This window comes from Homo sapiens, chromosome 4, assembly GCF_000001405.40.
Source record: "Homo sapiens chromosome 4, GRCh38.p14 Primary Assembly".
NCBI classification, from domain to species: domain Eukaryota; kingdom Metazoa; phylum Chordata; class Mammalia; order Primates; family Hominidae; genus Homo; species Homo sapiens.
The window spans coordinates 88,996,161-89,020,764 of NC_000004.12; the positions used below are offsets into that span (position 1 = coordinate 88,996,161).

At 37.8% G+C, this 24,604-nt stretch overlaps 1 protein-coding gene across 14 annotated transcripts in view, besides 1 other annotated feature; it reads right to left on the reverse strand.

Moving 5' to 3' along the window:
• The window catches only part of FAM13A (family with sequence similarity 13 member A), a 331,226-nt gene that overhangs the window by 270,201 nt on the left and 36,421 nt on the right, over positions 1-24,604 (reverse strand). For 10 of the 14 annotated variants that reach the window (XM_047449481.1, XM_047449479.1, XM_011531516.2 and 7 more), the window contains one exon: positions 24,300-24,509. In XM_047449481.1, coding sequence (XP_047305437.1) covers positions 24,300-24,509 — 210 coding nt within the window. Of the gene's footprint in view, positions 1-12,790; positions 12,919-13,614; positions 13,749-22,729; positions 22,819-24,299; positions 24,510-24,604 lie in introns of those variants that run through there. The other 4 variants (XM_011531518.2, XM_011531519.4, XM_017007626.1 and 1 more) reach the window with 4 other exon arrangements.
• Positions 11,576-12,775: an enhancer, noted in NCBI's record as "BRD4-independent group 4 enhancer chr4:89928887-89930086 (GRCh37/hg19 assembly coordinates)". NCBI's record gives its function as "activates an origin of replication core promoter dependent on BRD2, P300/CBP, MED14 and CDK7 cofactors, and independent of BRD4, by STARR-seq in HCT116 cells {active_cell/tissue: HCT116}" and the evidence as "EXISTENCE:reporter gene assay evidence [ECO:0000049][PMID:35650434]".

Below are 24,604 nucleotides of genomic sequence, written 5' to 3' on the forward strand. Positions count from 1 at the left end.
CAGAGAGGGAAAGGACAGATCATTACTGTCTGATTAAATCTGACTAAAAGCTATGGTCTTTTCTTGTTTTGTTTTGTTTACTGTGTGAGGGTTTTGAGCTGTGGGGAGACATGATCTGCCTGGAGGACCACTCCGGCTGCTCTGCTGAGTCTAGACTGTAGGGGCACAGTTGAAAGCAGCAAGATTACTTAAGAGGTTACTGTAACCATCTAGAAGGAAAGGGCCTGGGGCCTGGATCAGGCTGATGCTGACGGGATGGTTAGACGTGGGGGCGGATTCAGAATGCAGTTTAAATTTGTCTTGTGTTGGAAGTTGTTTTATTCATTTAATCATTCCGAAAACATTTATTGAGTGACTACTCTGTTCCAGGCACCATTCTAAGCATTTGAGATAAATCCATAAACAAAATAAACAGAAAATGCCTACCCTCATGGAGCCTACCATCTAGCAGGTGAGACATTAGGCAATAAATATAGTAACAGGGCTAGGGGAATTCGGAGTACTTGGACCAGGGTGAAGGCTAGTGATAGAGATTATAAATAAGATTGCCAGGAAGGTCTCCTTGAAATGTAGTTGATGTCTCCAGCCAAAGTAAAAAAAAAAATCTATAAACTGGCAAATATAAGCTCTTTTAGAGTTGGTGGTTGAGTTTCAACCATCTTTTAAACACCCTCCGTGCCTTGCATATTAAAAGCGCTCAAGACATTGTTTTAAAGAATGATACGCATTTTTAAGACACACAGTAAGACAAACTAGCATAGGAATACAGTACATCTATATTTCAAATATATTTTAAAGAAATGTGGAATAATTTAGTCCATTTATAGAATTTGCTGAGTTGGATGGAATATTACTGTTAGGTAGGAATCAGATTACAGATAGTATCTAAATAGAAGAAAAAGCTCCTTTAGTGGTCACAGGGAAAGGACACTCAGCAATAAAATTCCATAAAAGGGCCTCAGAAACAGAAGTGAAATGCACCTCTGCAGATGTATTAACATATGTTAACTGCTTTAAACTTGTTAAACTGGAATAAAAACTAGGATCATATGTTATAATTCGTAAGTCCAAAAATTCTAAGAAAACTTTGCAGATGGAAATAATGGTTCACAATTAAAATAGTCATCATTTTCTTTGACATCAATCTTAGGACAAAAACTATCTCTCTCCATTAGTGAAAAGTGCTACTTCAAATTATTCAAGTTTTCTTGAAAGTTCTCATTTGTTGTTGGCTTCATTTGACCCATTTCTCAAGCTAAAATTCAAACATTCAACTAGCACAGTATACATAGCATACAGACAAATCTACTCAGCACTCGAAAACTGTACCATAAATACTTTTGTTCCAGGTTAAGCAGCAAGCATTGAACCATGTGACAAATATTTGCTCTCACTAAAAAAAAAAAAATTATAATTATAATCAGCAATGCTATACCTGTATCACAAGATATATCACAGAATGGCACCTAACTCTAATCTTGACATGTATCCTAGTGTTTGTCACATGCCTGGACTTTTCAATGACCATGAAGTTATACTGTACTCATAATCTTAGCCTCAAGGAAAGAATAATATAAACTAACTGACAAAACGCTAATCTCTATCATGATATATCTCAGAGCCATGAGAAGGTCAACCATTAAGACAACCAAAATACTTAGCCTCATGGTGCCAGATTTGTCAAAGTAGCTTCCCCCCTCCCTCTGCCTCATTAAACCTCACAAAATGTTTTATGAAAACTTGCTAATCTATTAGATATTAATAGTATAATGAGCTGTTGCCAACTTTGCAGATTAAGAGAGGTTATAAACTCGACAACACGGGCAGCCTCTAGAAACTGAGAAACCAGCAAAGAAATAGAGACTTCAGCCTTACAACTGCATGGAAGTGAATTCTGCCAACACTATGAATGAGTCTGGGAGTAGATTCCCCCTAGAACACCCAGAACAGTCATACAGGAGCCTAGACTGTCACCTTGATTTTGGCCTTGTGAGATTTAGAGTAGAGGAACCAGTTGAGCCCACACACTTCTCACCCACAGTACAGTGAGATAATAAATTTGCAATGCATTAAGTCACTAAGTTCATGGTAATCTGTTATGGTAGCAATAGGAATCTAGTAGTTCCCCATTTGGAGATGACTAGACTGAAATAGAGAGATTGATTAGCCTGTCCACATTCACCCAGGTACCAAATAGCTGAGCTACAATTTAAATCCAAGTGCCCAGGACCTCATAACATACAATTTGATCAGCATACTCTTACAAAGTTAGCTATTATTGTTATCATTATTACAGAGCAGCTAACACCATGTCTCATGTATGTAAATATTTAAGAAATGTTTCCTGAATTAATCAATCAATAAACAAATCTGTTGTGTAGTGGAGAGGTGGGAATCTTAATTAATTTGTGAGAAACTATAGCTTCGTAAATTCTCAGGGCTTGTGGAGAAATAAAATTTTAATAGAAACCTATAAGGCTGCATGGGCACAAAATATAAACTACATAAGAATAAACAAAACATGAATTATATTTCTTTCTAAATATGTATTTACAGAAGAATGAGAAAAATAATTATGAAATGCCAGCTGTACAGAATCAGACTGGGTTTTACCTCCGCATTTCATTCCCCAAGACTGGAATCACTTCTTTGGAGTGATGAGAAGCTTATATAGGCAACAGAATTTCATTTTCCTATGCAAAAGGAGGGATTATGTTTCTTACAAATCTCTTACAACCTCATGACCATGATATGGTTCTCAGAGGCCTCACGTAAATTTCTCAAAGGGCAGACTGATAAAGTGACTAATAAAAATTAATAAATTACCCTCTATTCTTAGAGGTTATTAGTGAAACTACGAATCTTATCATTCTGATTAGATTCTGCAAAATGCAGAGGTATGTTTATTGCCAAATTAGTCAATATTTACAGTGATCCTCCTGTTCCCAGAGAGAACCTGTATGTCCAAGAGCAAAGGCCTGCAGGAAGAACAAAGAATTAGGTGATATTTTACACTTTAGTCCTATAACCAAAACAAACTCCTGATAATGCCTAAATAGTATCTCAGCATATTTATTTTGTGAGTATTTATTGGGTACTGAATGCTTGTCAGTCGGGACAGGTGGTGTACATAAAAATATAAAATAGTCTAAATTATAAAGCTGGAACCTCATATCTACAATAAAGGTTAGACACAAGCATTTAGCAGCTGAAGAACTTATTTGTATGAGAATTTATGTACCGAGGAGACTGGAAAAAACAAACAGCATATAGGACAGAGAGCCTCACACAATGTAAAATGCTAATCTGAAACAATATTGGCAGTATCTCAGCTAATAAAACTAGGCTTTCTCCATCAATCTAGCACTACATTAAATGGGCCAAGTACAGTAAATATATAGTTTCAGATGAAATCATACTACCACCAGTTGGTTTTTTTCTAGGCACTACTGGTTAAATGCTCAGCTATAAGTGGCCTGTAAGTGGATTTGGTGCCATATGAGTTAAACCAAGCCCAGAGTTACTTAAGCCTATTTGTATGTCCTCTTACCCCTCCTTTCTCCCCTAAGGGCCTCAAATTGTTTATGGACTCATTGTAAAAGGTTGATTATTTCCATGGGTTCAGTAAAGCAGGTGTTCAAAACACGGCTTGACAGAGTTAGGGCAGAGCTCTAAGTGGCTAGCAAGCTAATCATCTGGCTATCCCTTCAACTGATATTCTTTAACCAAATTTTTAATATTTTTTATGTAGATTGATTTTCTGTTAATACAAGTTGTATACTTTTTAAATAACTCACTTGTTGACTATGTCTTTTCTTCTTCCAACATAAAAGCATTACTAAAAAAACAAAGAACTTACTGAGGATTTCACCCAGCTCACAATTAATTCCATAATATCCCCAATGGGCCTCTTCTTGGCCTTGGAGCTGCTGGGTATCCTGCTTTTCCTCTTCAAGCCTATAATCTTTCTAAAACTATGTTAGAAAATAGTTACTCAAAATAAAGTTACAATATAACATAGCAATTACAGGTAGATACTCAAGAGAAATGAAAGCATATATCCACACAAAAACTTGTACATAAATGTTCATAACAGCCAAAAAATGGAAATAACCCAAATTTCCATCAACATGAATGGATAAGTAAAATATCGTATATTCATACTATAGAATATTAACCAGCCATAGGAATGCAGTACTGATATATGTGACACCACAGATAAAGCTTGAAACATTATGCTAGATCAAAGAAGCCAGTCACAAAGTACCACATACTGTGTGATTCCATTTATGAAATGTCCATAGAAGCAAATGTTTATAGAAAGAAAGTAGACTGGTCTTTGCCTAAGGATGTGGGTGGTGGGAGGAGGGAGGAATGGGGAGTGACTGCTAATGGGCATACGGTTTCTTTCTGGGGTCATAAAAATGTTTGAAAGTTAGATAATGGTGATGGTTGCACTTTGTGAATAGATCAAAAACCACTGAATTGTACACTTTAAGAAGGTCAATTTATGGTGGGTAATTTATATACCAATAAAGCTGTTATAAAGAAATTCTGTTGACTTCAAAATCAAGCATGGGAAAAAATTAAGCATGGGAAAAGAAAGTCAGAGGAGACCTTTCAGATAAAGATGACAGATCATTTCAGTTAAAGATGAGTGTACCTACTTCTCCTCCTAATATCCCACTAAAATGACAATTTTTTTAAAAGAATAAGTCCTCAAGGATAAAGAGAATAGCCTAAAACATGACAGTAGATGGAAGATTTTAACAAATGTACATATGCACGCACACATGTGCACACAATCATGTTTCAAGATGAGTTGTTCTTATATGGAATAATTTGCTCAGTCATGGCTTCCCTTTCCAAGCTTGCACAACCTCACCCACTAGTTAATACTATCTCACAGAGTCAAAAGCCATATAAGGAAAATAAAGATGCATACGTGTACCCAGTAAAGAAAAGATCATCTAGTTATATCAGGACCTACAATCTCAGAGGTCATGGGTGGTTATAGATACAAATAAGGTTCTTCCTGTCACATGGATCTGGATGAGAGCAGTCCAATTGGAACACTGCCAAAATGTATGAAGTCATCTGTGGAAACCTGGGTTTCCTGCCACCAGATTTCCAATTTATTCCAGTGGAGGCTTTGTGCTGCTGATTGATTGGTACCTTGGGCAAATACGTAGACATCAAACCTTTAATTTTGCTTTGGGTTTAAGTCTTTACTTAGAAAAAAAGAATAGTGTATATGTTTGGCATTGCTTATAGAAAACCCAAAAGATACACACTGAAAATGGAAAGGTTAAATTTTGTAGTTTAATATAATGATTCTGTTTCTCGCAGAAACAGATATTTGTGTAAGTTGAGTAATTTCAAAAGAAAAGAAGCTTCCCAGTAAAAAGAAATTACCCTAGGGAAGGAAATATATCATATGCTTGTTATGGAGTTCATACTATCCAAGAAATGACAATTCATAACTAGTATCTGGCCAACGTTTATTCATGTGGTACTGTAAAATTTGCAAGTCGAAACCACTCAGCTAATCTCAACACAATACAGATGGCATCAAGATAGTGTAGATAAAAGACAGGCTTGACTCCAAGGTATCTAGTGAGTTCCTCATATAATGAAGAAAGAGAAAGCCCTAAGGCTTAGGTACAAATTAGCTTATTAAATTAGATTTATTTACAATTAGCCACTGTGCTGATTAAAATGGCCCTATTATTACGGTGGTTTTCTTAAGAAAAACAGTTACTGTCTAAATTATCAAATGCTCATAAGCATTTGATAAAATTCACAGGCACTTAACTCTCACATGTTGTTTGCACAGCTGCTATTATAAAATTCTGTCTCATTTAAAATCAAATATGGGTTGTGGGGGTAAAAAAAAAAGGCAAGGGAGAATTTCCATTTAAAGAGACAGACCGATTATATGTGTTTATCTAGTCTTCCCAAGGCTCCACTGAAATGACAGTAAAATAATACTTAAAAAGTGTAAGCACCCAACGGCAAAAAAAAAAAAAAAAAAGAACAGCAGAGGAAACAGAAGAGTATGAGATTTTAAAGACATTTGGAAGTGGATGCAAGTGACTGGAAACAGATTGTTTACAAGCCTGTCAGGCTCGGCAAGTCCTTCAACACCGCCTGCATCCAGGCAGGCATGTGCTCAGACAGGAGTGCTGAGGCTTAGTCTCCGGGTAATATCAAAGGATTCTTGAATATCTGAGATAGTTAAGGACTAGCACGAGAAACACATTTGAAAATGTGAGATTAGTGAAAAGTCTGCTAAGAAATAAGGAGTCATTATTTCCTTACTGATGGGAAGTAAGCATACTACTTCCCACCTCCCCCAAGCCCTGCTCTTGATGAACTCAGTAGCTGAAGAGAAAAAGATCTTCACATACTGACATTTGGGCATCCCCAAATGACACAGCTAAATTTCTCATTTTTCTATCTAATCCTTCCAAAGTGAAGTATGCCAAGAGACAAGCCCCTGATCCCATTTACAAAATGTTATCCTCAGATCAAAACAGCTAAGAATCACTTTATGTTTGAATAAAGACAAAAAGAAAACCCATAAACAGATAATACAGAGAAAAGAAGAAAACTTAAGTACAACGTAACAACAAACCATTGTTAGTATCCTCAGAAAAGTAAGACGAGAATGTTCTAAAAGAGTATGGTGTTTTGCAAGAGGAATCAAAAGTGAGATTATTTTGGATATTAAAAATAGAAAAGCTAAAATTAAAAAAATAGGTTTGGCAGGAAAATAAATGAGGAAATTTCACAGAAAACAGAATTAAAAGACAGTGATAAGTCATTTAAAGAAACTATAATATAGGAAGGATAACACAAGAAAATTTCCAAGATCAAAAGAAAATACTTTCCAATCTGATGGAACCCATGGAATGTTTAACATAATGGGTAGAAAAAAGACTCCAGGAAATAGCAGGTCCAGGAAAAAACACTGGTGAGGGAAAATTCAAGATGACATCTACAACCAATACAAGTGGGAGCAGAAAATAAAAAGGGCCCCAAAGAGGAATCACCACAGAAATAAAGAATGGATAAATTACTTTTTTTTTAAGTTAACAGTGGAGTTGTTGGAGCAATTTGGAAAAAAAAAAAAACTGCATCAAGTTTATAGAAAATTATGTAAGTGGGCTGGGCATGGTGGCTCACACCTGTAATCCCAGCACTTTGGGAGGCTGAGGTGGGCAGATCACTTGAGTTCAGGAGTTCAAGACAAGCCTGGCCAACATGGGGAAACCCTGTCTCTACTAAAAATATAAAAATTAGCTAGGTATGTTGGTGCACACCTGTAATCCCAGATACCTAGGAGGCTGAGGCAGCAGAATCATGGTTATAGGTGTGCGGGAGGTGGAGGTTGCAGTAAGCAGAGGTTGCAGTGAGCTGGAATCCCACACCACTGCACTCCAGCCTGAATGACAGAATGAGTGGGGAAAAAAGAAAAAAATATATATACATGTATGTAAAAAAAAAAAGACAAATATTGTCAGAAAATATCTCACACACCATATACCCTCTTACGTAATTATTCACACATTAATTATAAATTTAACTAAATTTGTGATATATCAATATTCGAAGAAATTGTTTGGAGTAAGTGGCAAGGCAACAGAGTGAATTCCATCTATTTTATAAGCAGAAGTGATGAGATATCTGAAAGTGAGCAATCAAGATTTAACACTATATTATCAAATGGAAGCAAATACCAAAACAATAGCTAAACCAATTAAAAGTTATTCATTCTGAGAAAGAACTGAGGGCTGCCAAAGGGTATGGTAGGGATCTGCCGGTTTTCTTTTCTTTTTTTGTAGAGACAGGGTCTCACTATGTTGTTCAGGCTGGTCTCAAACTACTGGCCTAAAGCAATCCTCCTACCTTGGCATCGCAAAATGCTGGAATTATATAGTCATAAGCTACCACACCTGGCCAGGGTCTGCTGGTTTTTTCTTTTCTTTTTTGTAAGATGGAGTCTCATTTTGTTGCCCAGGCTGGAGTGCAGTGGTGCAATCTCAGCTCATTGCAATCTCCACCTCTCGGATTCAAATAACTCCCGTGCTTCAGCCTTCTGAGTAGCTGGGATTACAGGCGTGCACCACCAGGCCTGGCTAATTTTTGTATTTTTAGTAGAGATGGGGTCTTGCCATGTCAGCCAGGCTGGTCTCAAACTCCTGGCATCAAGTGATCCACCCACCTCAGCCTCCCAGAGTGCTGGGATTACAGGCGTGAGCCACCGAATCCAGCCCATCTTGTGTTATCAACTTAGCCAACGATGAGAAAGTTCAAGCACAGTTTCAATTAATTTGGGCAAGGATTTTGAAATCTTCCTCTTAACTCCAAGTTGAATTCATTTCTTTTTTCCCTTTTCCTTCTCCTTTCTAATCATAAGGCAGGTAAGCACACTTATTCTTCTGTAACTCTTTTGTAAATATTCGAAAAGAAAGGGAAGTTAGAATAGAGAAAGGCTAAGGAGACCAATTTTAAGCTTAAAAGCAGAAAAAATGAGGAGAATCACACTAAAATGACTTTTCTTTTTATAACCAAGAAAGCAATGGACAGGAGTGAGGGCTGAGGATGAGTTGGGACATAAGCATTGGGAAGGGAGATTACATTAAAAATATGGAAGCCCATGTTCCATCCCCCTAATGATTTTATTGGCCTGCAATAAAATCTCTGAAAGTTGATCTCTGAAAGTTTTCTAAGCTTTCTAGAAATTTTTTTTTTAACTTTTATTTTAGGTTCGGGGGTACATGTGAAGGTTTGTTACATAGGTAAACTCATGTCATGGTTTTTTTTTTGGTACAGATTATTTAGTCACCCAGATATTAAGCCCAGTACCCAGCTGTTACCTTTACTGTTCCTCTCCCTCCACTCACACTCCATCCTCAAGTAGACCTAGTGTCTGTTGTTTACTTCTTTGTGTTCATAAGTTCTTATCATTTAGCTCCCACTTATAAGTGAGAACAAGCAGCATTTGGTTTTCTGTTTCGATGTTAGTTTGCTAAGGATAATAGCCTCTAGCTCCATCCATGTTCCCATGAAAGACATGTTCTTGTTCTTTTTTATGGCTGCATAATATTCCATGGTGTATATGTATTATATTTTCTTTATCCAATCTGTCATTGATGGCATTTAGGTTGATTCCATGTCTTTGCTATTGTGAATAGTGCTGCAAATGAAAATTCACATGCATGTGTCTTTATGGTAAAATGATTTCTATTGCTCTGGGTATATACCTAGTAATGAGATTTGCTGGGTTGAATGATAGTTCTGTCTTTAGGTCTTTGAGGAATTGCCACACTACTTTCCACAATGGTTGAACAAATTTACACTCCCATCAACAGTGTATAAGGATTCCCTTTTCTTTACAACCTCATCAGCATCTGTTAATTTTTGACTTCTTAGTAATAGCCATCCTGACTGGTGAGATAATATCTCATTGTGGTTCCAATTTGTATTTCTCTAATGATCAGTGATGTTGAGCTTTTTTCATATGCTTATTGGCTGCATGTATGTCTTCTTTTGAGAAGTGTCTGTTCATGTCCTTTGCCCACTTTTTAATGGGGTTGTTTTTCTTTCCTAAATTTGTTTAGCTTCCTTATAGAGGCTGGATATTAAACCTTTGTCAGATGCATAGTTTGCAAATATTTTCTCCTATTCTATAGGTTGTCTGTTTACTCTGTTGATAGTTTCTTTTGCTGTGCAGAAGCTCTTAAGTTTAATTAGATCCCAGTTGTCAATTTTTGCTTTTGTTGTGATTGTTTTTGGTCTTTGTCATGAAACCTTTGCCCTTTCCTACATCCAGATGGTATTGCCTAGGTTGTCTTCCAGGTTTTTATAGTTTTGGGTTTTACATTTAAGTCTGTAATCCATCTTGAGCTGAATTTTGTATACGGTGTAAAGAAGGGGTCCAGCTTCAGTCTTCTGAATATGGCTAGCCAGCTATCCCAGCATCATTTATTGAATAAGGAGTCTCTTCCCCATTGCTTGTTTTTGTCAGCTTTGTTGAAGACCATATAGTCATAGGTGTGCAGCCTTATTTCTGGGCTCTCTATTCTGTTCCATTGGTCTATGTGCCTTCCAAGGCAACTCTTACAGGCTGCAACAGTTGAGAAGCACTGACCTAGCACTTATTAAATATTTAGTATGTGACTGGCATTATTCCAAGTTCTTTAGTATCTTTCAATATCCACAATAACCTCAGGAAGTAGACACTACTGCTATTGAGAGGGAAGAATTCCCTGCGCCCCACTGTGGGACTTGCAACAGGGGTGTGGCTTGCTTACTCAAACCCCTTGTGGGAGGAGGAGCATGCAGGCAAGCAGGTGCTGGGGCCAGAGCGAGCACTTTTGGGCTCCACCCCCAAGGTAGCGTCTAGGGGTATGTTACAATTAATGGTCTTTTAGCAGTTGCTATCCATGGACGGCTAAGTGTTAACCAGCTCAGTGGAGAGTCAGTGTGATAGCCTTTTACACCCTGCCCTCTTGGTACCCCGGTCCTTGTCTGGCAACCAGGAAGAGTCAGGTCACATGGATTTGAAGGATGGTGAATGCGGATTTTTTATTAAGCAGTGGAAGGTGGCTCTCAGCGGAAGGAGAGCTAGACAGGGGATGGTGCAGGAGGAAGGTAATCTTTCCCTGAAGCTCTGCTGTCTCCAGCTGGGCTCCCTTCTGAAGTTAAGCCGCATCTATCCATAGTCTCAGACACTCAGTCGCTTCTTCTCCTCTCGACATTCAACCACTTGTCCCTCTGCCAGCTGAGGTCTGGGGTTCATATGGGCACAGGATAGGGGGGCAGGATAGACCAGAAAGTAACATTCAGGCACAAAAACAGGAATGCCTGTTCTAATTTAGGGTCATGGGTCCAGGCTTGAGGGTGGAGCCCTCACCAGGGACTCCGCTCTCCTGCCTCTTGTCCGTATCATTATCTCCATTTAACAGGGAAACTAAGTGTGGTGATTTAAAAATGCCTACAAAGTTTGACACATTTCCCTTAAAAAGATGGAGCCTAATTTTCCTACCCTTGAATACAGACCAGATTAATGACTTGCCCCTAACAAACAGGGCAGAGTGATTCTATCTGTCTTCTAGAGCTAAAAGGACAGCTTCCATCTCTCTTGAACTGCATGCTCTGGGAGAAGCCAGTTACCATGTTAAGATAACATTCAAGCAGCCATCTGAAGAAGCCCACAGAAAAAGGAATTAAGGCCTGTCACCAAGACCGAGCATTAAATTGTCATCCATGTGAGTAAGCCACCTTGGAAAAAGATCCTCGAGCCCCAGTCAAGCTTTCACATACCTGTAGCCCCTGCCAACCTCTTGACCACAACTTCCCGAGACCTTGAACCAGAACTGCCCAGGTAAACCACACTTGAATTCTCGACCCACAGAAACTGTGAGAGAAGATACATGTTTACTGATTCAAGCCACTAAATTTTGGAGTCATTGTTATACAGAAATACATTAACAGATACACTAGGGCACAAAAAGGGTAAGTAACTTGGCCATACTAATGCAGAGAGCAAATGGCAAACTGAGATTTGAAATCTATTGGAATGGAGCCAAAGCCTATGCTCTAAGGCACATGCTATAAGCACTTTCTTCAAAATGGAGATTATACTGCCAATATCACATTAGAGCTGGTGCTAAGATTAAAACAGATTATATAAGTAAAATATCTACTAGGTATTAAACTAAGCAATAAGTAGTCACCTAACGGCACCCATTACTGTCATCAGTCACTCGAACAAGTATATTCTCAAAAAGGATCAATATTAAACACAAAAAACACCTCAGTATCATTTTTTTCCACAGCATTTCATTTATTTTAAACTTTTTCCTTACTTCTAAATTCACTAGACATTAAGGATTTCCGAGATCTGTCGGAGATCAATGCTATAATAATTTATACCCCAGAGACTATCTAATTAACATCCCACTGCAGGCTTTTTTACTGTTTTTCACTCAAACATTTATCAAATTTAATAAATTTTAAAAAGCACAGTGTTATGGACTAAATTTTGTCCAAAATTCACAGATTGACGCCCTAGCCCCCAATGTGCCCACAGTGGAAGACAGCACCTTTAAGGAGGCAAGGAAGGTTAAATGAGGCCACAAGGGTTGGCTCCTGATCAAATAGGGCTGGTGTCCCTATAAGAAGAGAAAGAGGTATCAGGAGTACTCCAGCACAGACAAAAGGCTACGTGAGGACACAGCAAGAAAGTGACATCTGCAAGGAAAGAAAAGAGCCCTCACCAGAAACTACTTCCAGCACCTTGATCTTGGACTTCCAGCCACCAGAACTGTGAGAAAATAAGTTTCTGTTGTTTTAGCCACCCAGTCTGTATTATTCTGTTATGGTGGCCCTAGCTGATTAATACAAGCAGTATAAAATAAAAAGGCTAGGCTTTGGAGCCAGGCAGATCCCAACTCTGCACAATCTACCTGCTTGTTCTTTGGCAAGTAACTTGCCCTCACTGAGCTGAGCTTCACTTTCTTTATCTATGAAATATTTGTAGGAATAGCTGTAATGGAGATAAAAACACAAACACAAGTAAAGCACCTAGGCAAAATCTTGACCCAAAACAGGCACTTAAATTGTGATTAAAGAAATATATAAAATTAGCTTATTGTTATCTATTTATATCTACAATATTGTCCAAACATAATTGATGCTCAGAATTATAAACACTGATGAGTCTACAAAGATGACTATGAAATGCACATCTTTAGTCCTAATCCCTCTCATAAGCACTAACCTTCATTTTACTCATCCATTTAAAATGAACTCCTCGTCACGGCCCCCAAATAATCTTCCTTTGTTAACTTCCATTAGGTTTATTAAAGGATCAACTGTCAAGATGTCACATCAGGATCTTTCCCCTTTCTTTAAAAAAAACAAAACAAAACACGATCTCTGAGACAGATATTTAATAAAGTCTCCACCACGAAATCATCAGATCCTACTGTAAAATTAAATTAATTAAAACTAAAAGCTGTTGGAACTTTAAATTACTTGAACCTTAAGAGAAATGAGAATATGTGGCCTGAGTCACGTAGCATGCAGTTGCAACTTCTGCTTCTCTGATTACAGATTAACTTTCCTCTGTATTCTTGTACTGTAGATGATTAGGAAAGACCCAAAGGTACCAGAGATAAGACTCCCTTCAACGCCACTACCTCTCCTTACAGAATGTTAAAGCAGTCTTCCTTGGGCTGTAATAAGCTATAATCAATCAAATTGCTATAATGTATGTGCTATGAGCTATGCAAGGTTAGAGAAAACCAGATCCACACATGTCTGTGTCTTTCCACAATGCCAGGCTTTTATTAATGTTATTCCAATCACAAAAGCCATGAGCTACATGGAATTCCCAAGAAGGCAATTTTCCTTAGTACTTCCTGTTAATTTGGTAGTCAGAGTTGTGGGGACACAGGCTCAAACCACTTCACAACTCAGTCAATATTGCAAACCATATATAATAGTAAACTTCAGCAATATATAAATAACGTTAAACATTCCACAACAAAGTAACATTTAATATCAAGAGGAAGAAGAGACAGGAGAAAAGGGTTGACAAACCAGTCCAGGGAGAGTGAAGAAGACCAAAGGAGTCCTAGTCTGGGTTGAGCGGTCTGTTGGTCTTGCAAGGAAGAGTATTTTAGGTGGCAGAACCTTCTGCAACAGATGCCAAGCTCTTAATCATGAGTAACTACAAAACAGTGTCAGTTAAGACGGCCCTTTTGAGCTACTGAAGACCTAATCTTTTATAGTCAGAGTCCTCTGGTGAGAACTGGTAGGAACTGGTGCCTGTTTGTGTCCATATCTGGTTGGACACAGTCTTTATTTTTTATTTGTTTATTAAGCAAAGGATCTTATCCTTGTCGGCAATGTGTCCTGTGAAATATAAAATAAGAGTCTTTTTCTAGGATGGAGATAGTTATGTCAGGGGTCCTCTATACAGTATGTACTGACCTTGTATGGAAAAATTTGTAACCCTGCTAAACTACTCTGCCTCTGCCTATATAAGTAAAACTTTAACCTCTCTACTTTGAACCTCTGTCCCCATTCCTTTGGAGTCTGTGTTTCCCGAGTGGTTATCCCCAGGCTTTGTACCGAATAAACTCTAAACTTAATCATATTTTCTGAATTTCATCATTTAAGGTTGACACTACCAAGTGTAACAGACAGCACCTAAGCCTTTGGGCTAAGTCCCAAATTTGCCTGGAGGTAGGGAAAGAGCATTAGGCAGCCACAGAAAGTTCCTAGAAAGTTGAAGACTGTCTCTTCCTTTCAGGACAAAAGATCAGGTCTGAGGAGCTGAAGCACTTTAAAATGTAAAGGTGCTACCCTGTGTACAGATAGAAAAGAAAAGATTTGAATAACTGAAGACAAAGGAACAGTAGTTGCCTCTGGCCTTATCTAAACACTAAGTTTGCAGGGATCTTTCCCTGGTGCTACTACAACTCACCTCACAAATTTCTTTCTCATTATTAGTATGTATTCACAACCATCTGATAAACTGGCCCTCTGCCATCATGTGGTTCTGTGGACCCCATCAAAGGTACAGACACCAGGGTCAGGCCACCAGACTACCCCTTCCTAACACAGTTTCTCAGGTCATCTCAAAACCTCTGACTTTTCTTACCCTCATTATCTTTTCTTTTTTTTTCTGAGATGGAGTCTTGCTCTGTTGCCCAGGCTGGAGTGCAGTGGTGCGATCTCGGTTCACTGCAACCTCCACCTCCTGGCTCAAGCGATTTTCCTGCCTCAGCCTTCTGAGTAGCTGGGATTACAGGCACCTGCCACCACGCCTGGCTAATTTTTGTATTTTTAGTAGAGACAGGGTTTCCTCATGTTGGCCAGGCTGCCCTCAAACTCCTGACCTCAGGTGATCCTCCCATCTCGGCCTCCCAAAATGCTGGGATTGCAGGTGTAAGCCACCATGCCTGGCCATCCTCATTATCTTAATAATTACCAGCTACGATGTTCTCTTCATGTTTTCTGTCTGTCTCTGGTAACCTTCCTTTAAAATCCCATGATGAGTTTCTTTTTGGAATGATGACAAAGAAAGTATTGGCACTGGATAGTGGTGATGGTTGCACAACACTGAGATTATACTTGATGTCCCTGAATTGTACTTAAAAATGGTTAAAATGGTAAATGCTATGTTACGTATATATTTACAACAATTTAAAAAATTTTCATTGTCCACTATTTATCTGATACAGATGGTTATAGGACTATGACCTAGATTTCTGTTAGCCTTCTAGATGTTCTCTCTGCATGTAGCATCTTCCCATCTAACCATCTTACACAGCACTGCCTAACATACTGCTTCTATTATGTGAGATCTTTCTTAAACATTTTATTATTTATATATAAATATTAATTTAACACTAATATTCAAGACCCTATACCACCTAACCTCAACCTACTTTTTCAATGGTATCTTTTGCTAATCTCTTCTAGCTACAGATAGCTCTGTCAGATAACTCTGTCTTACCGTGTTTTTGCTCATGTCCTTAACTCACTTAAAAGATTTTCCTCTCCATACAAGTTAATGTTGTCTCCAATCTTATTTTTCCCACAAAGTGTTTTCTGACCACCATAATCCAGGCTGGTTTTCTTCCCTCCTTGTTAGTTACCACTGACTGGATGTTTTTATTGTTCATTTAAAGCACTATTGTAGAATATATACAACATATCTTCTACTTCCTCAATTAAATCACACACTCCTTAAAATCAAGATGTTTAATTTTTCATTTCTTTGTATTACTCAGTATCTATTTAGAAGTTACTAAAAAAAATACTGATGGATGATCTAATTCCAAGTCATCAAATAACAATAAAAATACTCAACTATGATCTAGAACTACTTACATTTATATTAGAGAAGAATTTTCCACAGGAAACAGTCAATTAAAAATATTTCTAGTTAATCCTAAATTAAATGAATCCTCTTCTGCAATCTTTTTATGGCTTACAATTCACACCTATTTCCAAAACACACATGAGATTACAAAAATAAAAAGTACATATACTACTGCCCTACCAACATAAGGATAAAAGATCAAAAGGCATGGAATACACCAAGCTGAGATAATCATACTATAAACCTTGATTAAGGAAGATGAGTTGCTGCAGTCAGAGAGAAGCCTAACATGGCAATAGGAAAGGATGATCACTGAAGGTCCCTTCGAGTGTGTCTCTTAAATATAAATTGTCTAAACCTCTGAGAGGTATTGTGAGGCCTCTGAAAGAAGTGAAAGGTTCTGGAAGAAATAAAATAGAGAAAGAAGTCTTTGATAAAAATCTGTCATGCAGGTATACTGATTTGCTAACTAAAACCCATAGAATCTCAGAGCTTCAGACATCAGACACATCCAAAGTGTATAATTTGTTATAGAAATGAATGAATTTAAACAGTTTTCTCCCATGGAGGGCCACTGTTCATCTACAAGATGTTAAGGGTCAGGGATGCTTACAGACATCCAGACTGTTCTCACTGGCAGTTTGGTTTAGCCTAAATGTCTGAAAAAATACTTAGGGCTCCAGAACTCCATCCTATAAAGCATGGAAGAGAGGACTTTGATCTGAAAAATTTTAAGCACATTCAACTATGAAATCACTTGCTGTTTACACAGGATATAATTCAAAGGCCTACAACAACATTAAAAAAAAAAGAAATGTAGCATTGACTTGTGACAGAATACCAAGAAAACAATTTAATCTGTTATTATGAGGATGGATTTATGAAAGCAGGGTAGTCACCCCTGAGGAAATTACATCAAAACAACTTTATCACATATTGATGTATAGTAGAAAGGGTGGGAGATGAGAATACTGTTTACTGGCAAGCGCAGCATCTGCTTTTAATGGGCATTAAAAGCAAAACCCATTCAACTATGTGTAAAGAGTTTTACCATCCCCGGCTTCAGGGTGCTCAGTTGCAACGTCCACCCTGTACTGTAAGGGTACCTCACACAGGATAAACCAACAAGAAACACAGTAATCCTTCCTATCTTTCATCTGAAATATGAAAGAAGGAAGTTTATTTTATAGAGACAATAAAATATATATATATATAACACAGTATATATATATAAAACACAGTATATACATATAACACAGTATATATACATATATATAAAATGTATAAAACACAGTAACCCTTTTTACCTATCTTCTATCTGAATTATGAAAAAATAAGTTTATTTTATAGAGGCTATATTGTCTGATGCCTAATGCATACATTATTCCCTCTATTTGGCAGCTTACATAACTAGTAGTTGCTCAATTACAGTCATGCACTGCACAATGATGTTTTGGTCACTGAGGGACTACATATATGACTATGGTCCTATAAGATTATAATGGAGCTGAAAAATTCCTATTGCCCAGTGATGTCATAGCCATCATAACGTCCTACTGCAACATATTACTTATGTGTTTGTGGTGATGCTGGTGTAAACAAACCTACTGGCTTCCAGTCCTATAAAAGTATAGCATACACAATTAGATTCGGTACATAATACTTGATAACAATAATAAATGACTATGTTACTGGTTTATGTAGTTACTATACAGCAAGTATAACGACATTTCATTCAAGGTCATTTTGTTCTAACGCTGATGAGAAAAAAATAATCAATTCCCAGCCAGAGCCACTGTCTATGTAGAGTTTGTGCCTTCTCCCCAGGTCTGCATGAGTTTTCTCTGGGTACAAAGATGGGCATGACCGGTTAATCGGCATGTCTAAATGTTCCCAGTCTGAGTGAGTGTGGGCATGGGGGTAAGTACACCCTGTGGTGCAATAGTGTCCTGCTCAGGGTTGACTCCCTCCTTGTGCCTGAGCTGCTGGGGTAGGTTCCAGCCACTCACGACCCTGAATTGGAAAAGGCAGGTTAGAAAATGAATGAATGAATAAATGAATGAATACAAATGATTGTAAAATAAAAATTCGTAGACGGTAATCCTACAGATGCATGACAATAAACGATGCAGTAGGAACGCACTCAGTAAGCCTACCGTATTTGCCATTGATTTTGAACTATGTGGTGGGAAGAGGTGCTGCTGACAACTTTTACTTCACAAATACCTATTCCTTGATTTAACCCATTACCACTATGACAGCCATCACTCACTATTTACCAAAAACTGGGGAAATAATTCTTATTTTTTAAAAAGTATTTCTTAAATGTAAGTGTACCTCACATTTATTTCAATGTTTAATAACAGAAGTGTTCTGGGTCTTCAATTAGAAGTTTGGTGATGTTTTTGTAACCAGAATCATGCCATCAGAACTTAACTATTGTGGGAAGTCAGGGATCCCGAATGGAGGGACCAGCTGAAGCCATGGCAGAAGAATATAAATTGTGAAGATTTCATGGACATTTATTAGTTCTCCAAATTAATACTTTTATAATTTCTTACACCTGTCTTTACTGCAATCTCTGAACATAAATTGTGAAGATTTCATGTACATTTATCACTTCCCCAGTCAATATTCTTGTGATTTCCTATGCCTGTCTTACTTTAATCTCTTAATCCTGTCATCTTCATAAGCTGAGGATGTATGTCGCCTCAGGACCCTGCGATGACTGCGTTAACCGCACAAATTGTTTAAACAATATGAAATCTGGGCACATTGAAAAAAGAACAGGATAACAGCAATGTTCAGGGAACAAGGGAGATAACCATTAAGTCTGGCTGCCTGAGAGCTGGGCAGAACAGAGCCATATTTGTCTTCTTTCGAAAGCAATAGGAGAAATATCGCTGAATTCTTTTTCTCAGCAAGGAACAGCCCTGAGAAAGAGAATGCGTTCCTAGGGGGTGGTCTCTAAAATGGCCGCTCTGGGAATATCTGTCTTTTACGGTTGAAGATAAGGGATGAAATAAGCCCTGGTCTCCTGTAGCGCTCCCAGGCCTATTAGGACGAGGAAATTTTGGTCAGACTGGTTGTCTGCTCTCAAACCCTGTCTCCTGATAAGATGTTACCAACGACAATGTGTGCCTGAAACTTCATTAGCAATTTTAATTTCGCCCCGGTCCTGTGATCTTACCCTGCCTCCATTTGCCTTGTAATATTTTATTACCTGGTGAAGCACGTGATCTCTGTGACCCACACCCTATTTGTACACTCCCTCCCCCTTTTGAAAATCACTAATAAAAATTTGCTGGTTTTGCGGCTTGCGGGGGCATCACGGAACCTGCTGACATGTGATGTCTCCCCCGGACACCCAGCTTTAAAATTTCTCTCTTTGTACTCTTTCCCTTTATTTCTCAGACTGGCTGACACTTAGGAAAAATAGAAAAGGACTCATGTTGAATTATCGGGGGCGGGTTACCCCGATACTTAACTTTTGTTTGTATTAATCTGCCTGTGATAAAATTTATTTCCTGATACATCATTTTACTTAAAGTTGCAGTTTCCAAGAAATTATCAACAACATTAAGTGAAAACTTACTATACTATACATTTTATTATTTTAGAGTGTACCCATTCTATTTATACATATATGTATAAAGTGCATTTTAGAGTGTACTCATTCTATTTATATGTATGAAGTTTATATATATATAAAGTTAACTGTAACACAGACTCAGATACACATATACATATATACGTGTATGTTAACTGCAACACAGACTCAGATATACATATACATATATATGTGTATGTTAACTATAACAGACTTAGATACACATATACATATACATACATATATACGTGTATGTTAATTATAACACAGACTCATACACATATACATACATACATATACACATGTGTATGTTAACTGTAACACAGACTCAGGCAGGTACTACGGGAAGTATTCCATAAGAAGGCATTGCTATTGTAGGAGATGGCAGTTCCACAAGTGTTACTGTTCCTGAAGACTTTCCATTGGAACAAGATATGGAGGTGGAAGGTAGTAATATTGATGATTCTGACTCTGTAGGCCTAGACTCACATCTGTGCTTATGCCTTAGTTTAAAAAAAAAAAAACACAATTTTACAAAGTAAAAAAAGAAAAAAGAAAATTTTAAAAATAGAAAAATATTAAAATTATATGATGAAAACAATTTGTAGAGCTATGCAAGGTATTTGTATTTTAAGCTAAGTGTTATTTTAAAAGAATCAAAATGTTTTTAAAAGTTAAAAAGTTATAAAGTAAAAAAGTTACAGTAAGCTAAGGTCTATTACTGAAGACAAAACAAATTTTTAAATAAATTTAGTTTAGCTTAAGTGTACAAGATTTATAAAGCCTACAGTGGTGCAGTAATCTCCTAGGCCTTCATATTCACTCACCACTCACTCACTGACTCACCCAGAGCAACTTCTAGTCCTGCAAGCTCCATTCATGGTAAATGCCCTATACAGGTGTACCATTTAAACAATCTTTTATACTATATTTTTACGTACCTTTTCTGTTTTCTTTTTTATTGTTATTTCTTTTGAGACAGGGTTTCACTCTGTCACTCAGGCTGGAGTGCAGTGGTATGATTATGGCTCACTGCAGCCTTGACTTTCTAGGCTCAAGTGATCCTCCCTCCTCAGCCTCCTGAGTAGCTGGGACTACAGGTGCATGCCTCCACGCCCTGCTAATTTCTTAATTTTCTGTAGAGATGCGGTTTTGCCATGTCACCCAGGCTGATCTCAAACTCCTGGGCTCCAGCAATCTGCCCACCTCAGCTCCCAAAAGTGCTGGGTTACAGGCATAAGCCACAGGCCAGGCCTACTGTACCTTTTCAATTTTTAGATATGTTGAGATACACAAGTGTTTTCTACTGCATTACAACTGCCTACAGTATTCAGTACAGTAACATGCTGTATAGGTTTGTTGCCTAAAAGCAACAGGCTATGCCATATAGCCTACGTGTGTAGTAGGCTATACAATCTAGGCTTGTGTAAGTATACTGTATGATGTTCACACAACAATGAAATCACCTAATAATGTATTTTTCAGAAAGTATTTATGTCATTGATGCTTAACTGTAATTTTTTTTTACTGAATGACTCAAATCTAACCAGAGATTTTAAGGGAATGGAAGAATAATACCAACATAGCAAAAATTTAACCTCTCTTCCCATTCAAAATTTGTTACCTGTGCATAACCTCACATAACCTAAAGGCTGACTATACAATGAGTCTTGCTTTTAGAATGATACTGCTTGCTTTTATGACACCTATCAACTTTCTGATGACTGAGGAATCACGTCATAAAGAATATGGCGACTCACAAAGACCTAAATGATTACAAAATAATTCTATAAATAGTAATAAAAATAATAAAACAGTACATACTCATATCAAATGAAAACTATTCTGGAAATGTGATAAAAGCCTTTGAAATTTATAGGATTTTTGAGTACTAAGAATACTTAATAATACAGAATACTATAGAATAATATTAAGAATACTAAAGATATCTGACTACCAAATATTTTGCATTAAGCATAAAATATTCGTCAACTCCTGTAGACATTATTTTACAATAATTTTCCAAACTTTATCTCAAAACTTCCCTTCCCTATGGATAAAATATTCCTTGTAAAAAGGATTTAATGTTTCCAAATAGGAGGAATTGTCACCTTTATGAAGGAATGGTTATCTTCATACATATCGTGAAAAAGTTCATAAAGTTTCCAATTAGCAAGCCTCGAACATGTCACTCACTGACATACAAAGCTTAAAAGCACCGTTGACAACCAGAACAAACTGTTCTGCAAATTTGCTTTCATATTTTATCACTATTTTCAATAAAATATAATATTTAATAATTCAATGATTTTATGCCTTTTCAAAAAATAAAATCATTTTTTTCAAAAATGAAGTAGCTAAGATTACAAAAAATAATAGGTTTGAAAATAGGTAAAACTTCTGGGATTTTTCCTGTTGCATCACTGTTAAGGACTGAATTGTGTTCCCTCCAAAATTCATATGTTGAAGCTCTAACCTCCATACCTCAGAATGTGATTGTATTTGGGGCCTTTAAAGAGGTAATTAAGGTTAAATTAGATTATAATGGGGTCCCTAATCCAATAGGACTAGTGTCCTTATAAGAAGAGGAAGGGACATCAGGAGAGTGCACACAGAGAAAAGGCCACGTGCGGACACAGTGAGAAGGCAGCCATCTGCACACCAAAGAGAGAGGCCTCAGGAGAAACCAACACTGCTGGCACCTTGATCTTGGACTTGCAGCCTCCAGGACTGTGAGAAATAAATTTCTCTCGTTTAGGCTTGTAACATCCAGTCTGTGGTATTTTGTTAGGGCAGATGTAGCAAATTAATACAATTTGGGGTTGAGGCCTCAAAGATAAAAATAAAGGTTGTGATGGGCCCACCCATTCTAAGCAAAAATGCTAGATGAGCTATATAGAACTTATTAAGGTGAGACCAAACCCAGGTCTGGCGGCCTTGGGCCATCAACAGGCCACAAAGATATTTAAGCAGGAAATTCAGTGTTAAAATTTGAAGTTAAAAATTAGAGAGTGAGGATTTCTTTGAAGGGAGAGAGTTGCTAGAGAAATATAATGCTTCCTCTAACTTTCCCAAGCCAAGTGAGGGTCATCAGATTATCACTTGGGTAGTTTGAAGAGTCTAAAACTCGTCAAAGAGTCTAACACAGACAGTCTGGCTATGGGTGCCCTGGGTGGCAGCACAAGAAGGCAGGGCTCTGCCTTGTGACTGACCTCCATTTCAAGAATGTGGCAAAGATGTGTTTCCTGAGGACTGCCCAGGTACTCTGAAGAAAGAAATAAGACATGAGTAATCTTCCAAAAGGATTGCCTGGAGGTCACCACGGGAGGCCAGGGGCTGCAGAGAAGTGAGAAGAGGCCAGGGCAGGAGGCATTGCTGATGTGAGGGCCTGGGGGAGCTACAGACAGGTCTCCTTCCCTAGGGGATGGCAAGTGGAGGTAGTTAGTGTCCTCTTCTGATACAACCACACAACTTTTAGCTAATATTTCAAAATGGTCTTTCATGGGGTAAAATATTTCTGGTACTTTCTTACTTGTCCTATCTGGCCTTCTCACTTATCCTGTTCTTTAGCATACTGCATGTGAATAGGTACACCACTGCTGTAAAGGAATGTGGCTTTAGGTAGCACCCTTAATCTGGCAACGAATACTTTTGGAAATATATTTTCTTCTTTCTTCTCTAATTTGGGAAAAATAATAAAATAAATGGTTTTAAGGGTAAACCATTTTTCTTACAGCACTTAGGAGGGAGAACTCAATAATGACTATGCCTATAATTATTACACTTAAAAAGCGAGTTCCTGGCCAGGTGCAGTGGTTCATGCCTGTAATCCCAGCTCTTGGGGAAGCCAAGATGGGTGAATCACCTGAGGTCAGGAGTTTGAGACCAGCCTGGCCAACATGGTGAAACCCCAACTCTACTAAAAATACAAAAGTTAGCCGGGCATGGTGGCGGGTGCCTGTAATCCCAGCTACTCAGGAGGCTGAGGTAGAAGAATTGCTTGAACCCAGGAGGCAGAAGTTGCAGTGAGCCAAGATTGTGCCACTGCACTCCAGCCTGGGTGACAAGAGTGAAACTACATCTCAAAAAAAAAAAAAAAAAAAAGCAAGTTCTTTCATATGAAATCACTTAATACTACAATCAAAAATCAATTTTTACCTCACGAAATGAACAAAATTATTTTAGGACTCAATCTTGCTTAGGAGAAAAAGCAAGTACACCAGTGAGCTTTCAGTCTCAAAGGTCATTAAGCAACCACAATTTAATGAATATTTCCTTTATTGTTCTCTAATGTTTTCTAAATTATTCTTGATCTCACTCCTTTTATGACAGTCATTAGTCAGAAAAACATGTCTTTGGCCCAAAAGCATCAGGGATTTTCAATATTACGTTACTGAAGTAGTCACATGTTAATGGTATCAGAAATTTCATTTAATAACGGTATTTCATAATCAGTCTAGTATGATTTTACATAGGGGATGAGGGCCTGGAGTAAAATAACAAGGTGGTGGTTATGGAAAGACCACAAATATTTAAAAACTTTTTAAATTTTAAATATTTAGTATGTTTACTAAAAATAAAACTGGTTTTTTTTTTTCTGCCCTTTTTTTTTTTTTTTTGTAGAGATGGGGGTCTTGCTTGGTTGCCCACGGTGGTCTTCAACTCCTGGCTTCAAGCAATCTTTCTACCTCAGCCTCCCAAAGTGTTGGGATTATAGGTGTGGGCCACCGTGCCCAGCCTAGTAAAGTTGTTTTAACTCCTAAAAGGATTTATTGTACTAACCCTGAAAGAGTTGAATGAATCGAGGCTGCAACGCTGAGGTGATCAGACTGTCAGGCAGCTCCCTCAGAAACAGCTTCAACAGACTGGCTGCTGAGCAGACATCACCGTCCTTCCCGAGCTCCACGGGCACTCCACTCTCGAACTTCAGTCGAAGTTGTTCCACCACCTTCACGTTACCATTCACCCTAAAAAGACCTTCTTGGGTAAGTCCTGGAAGAGCAAAGTAGGCACAGAAAATAAATAGGTTTCTCACAGACATGAAACGTAAAGAATGATAACAACACAAAGAAAGAAATCTCAGCATA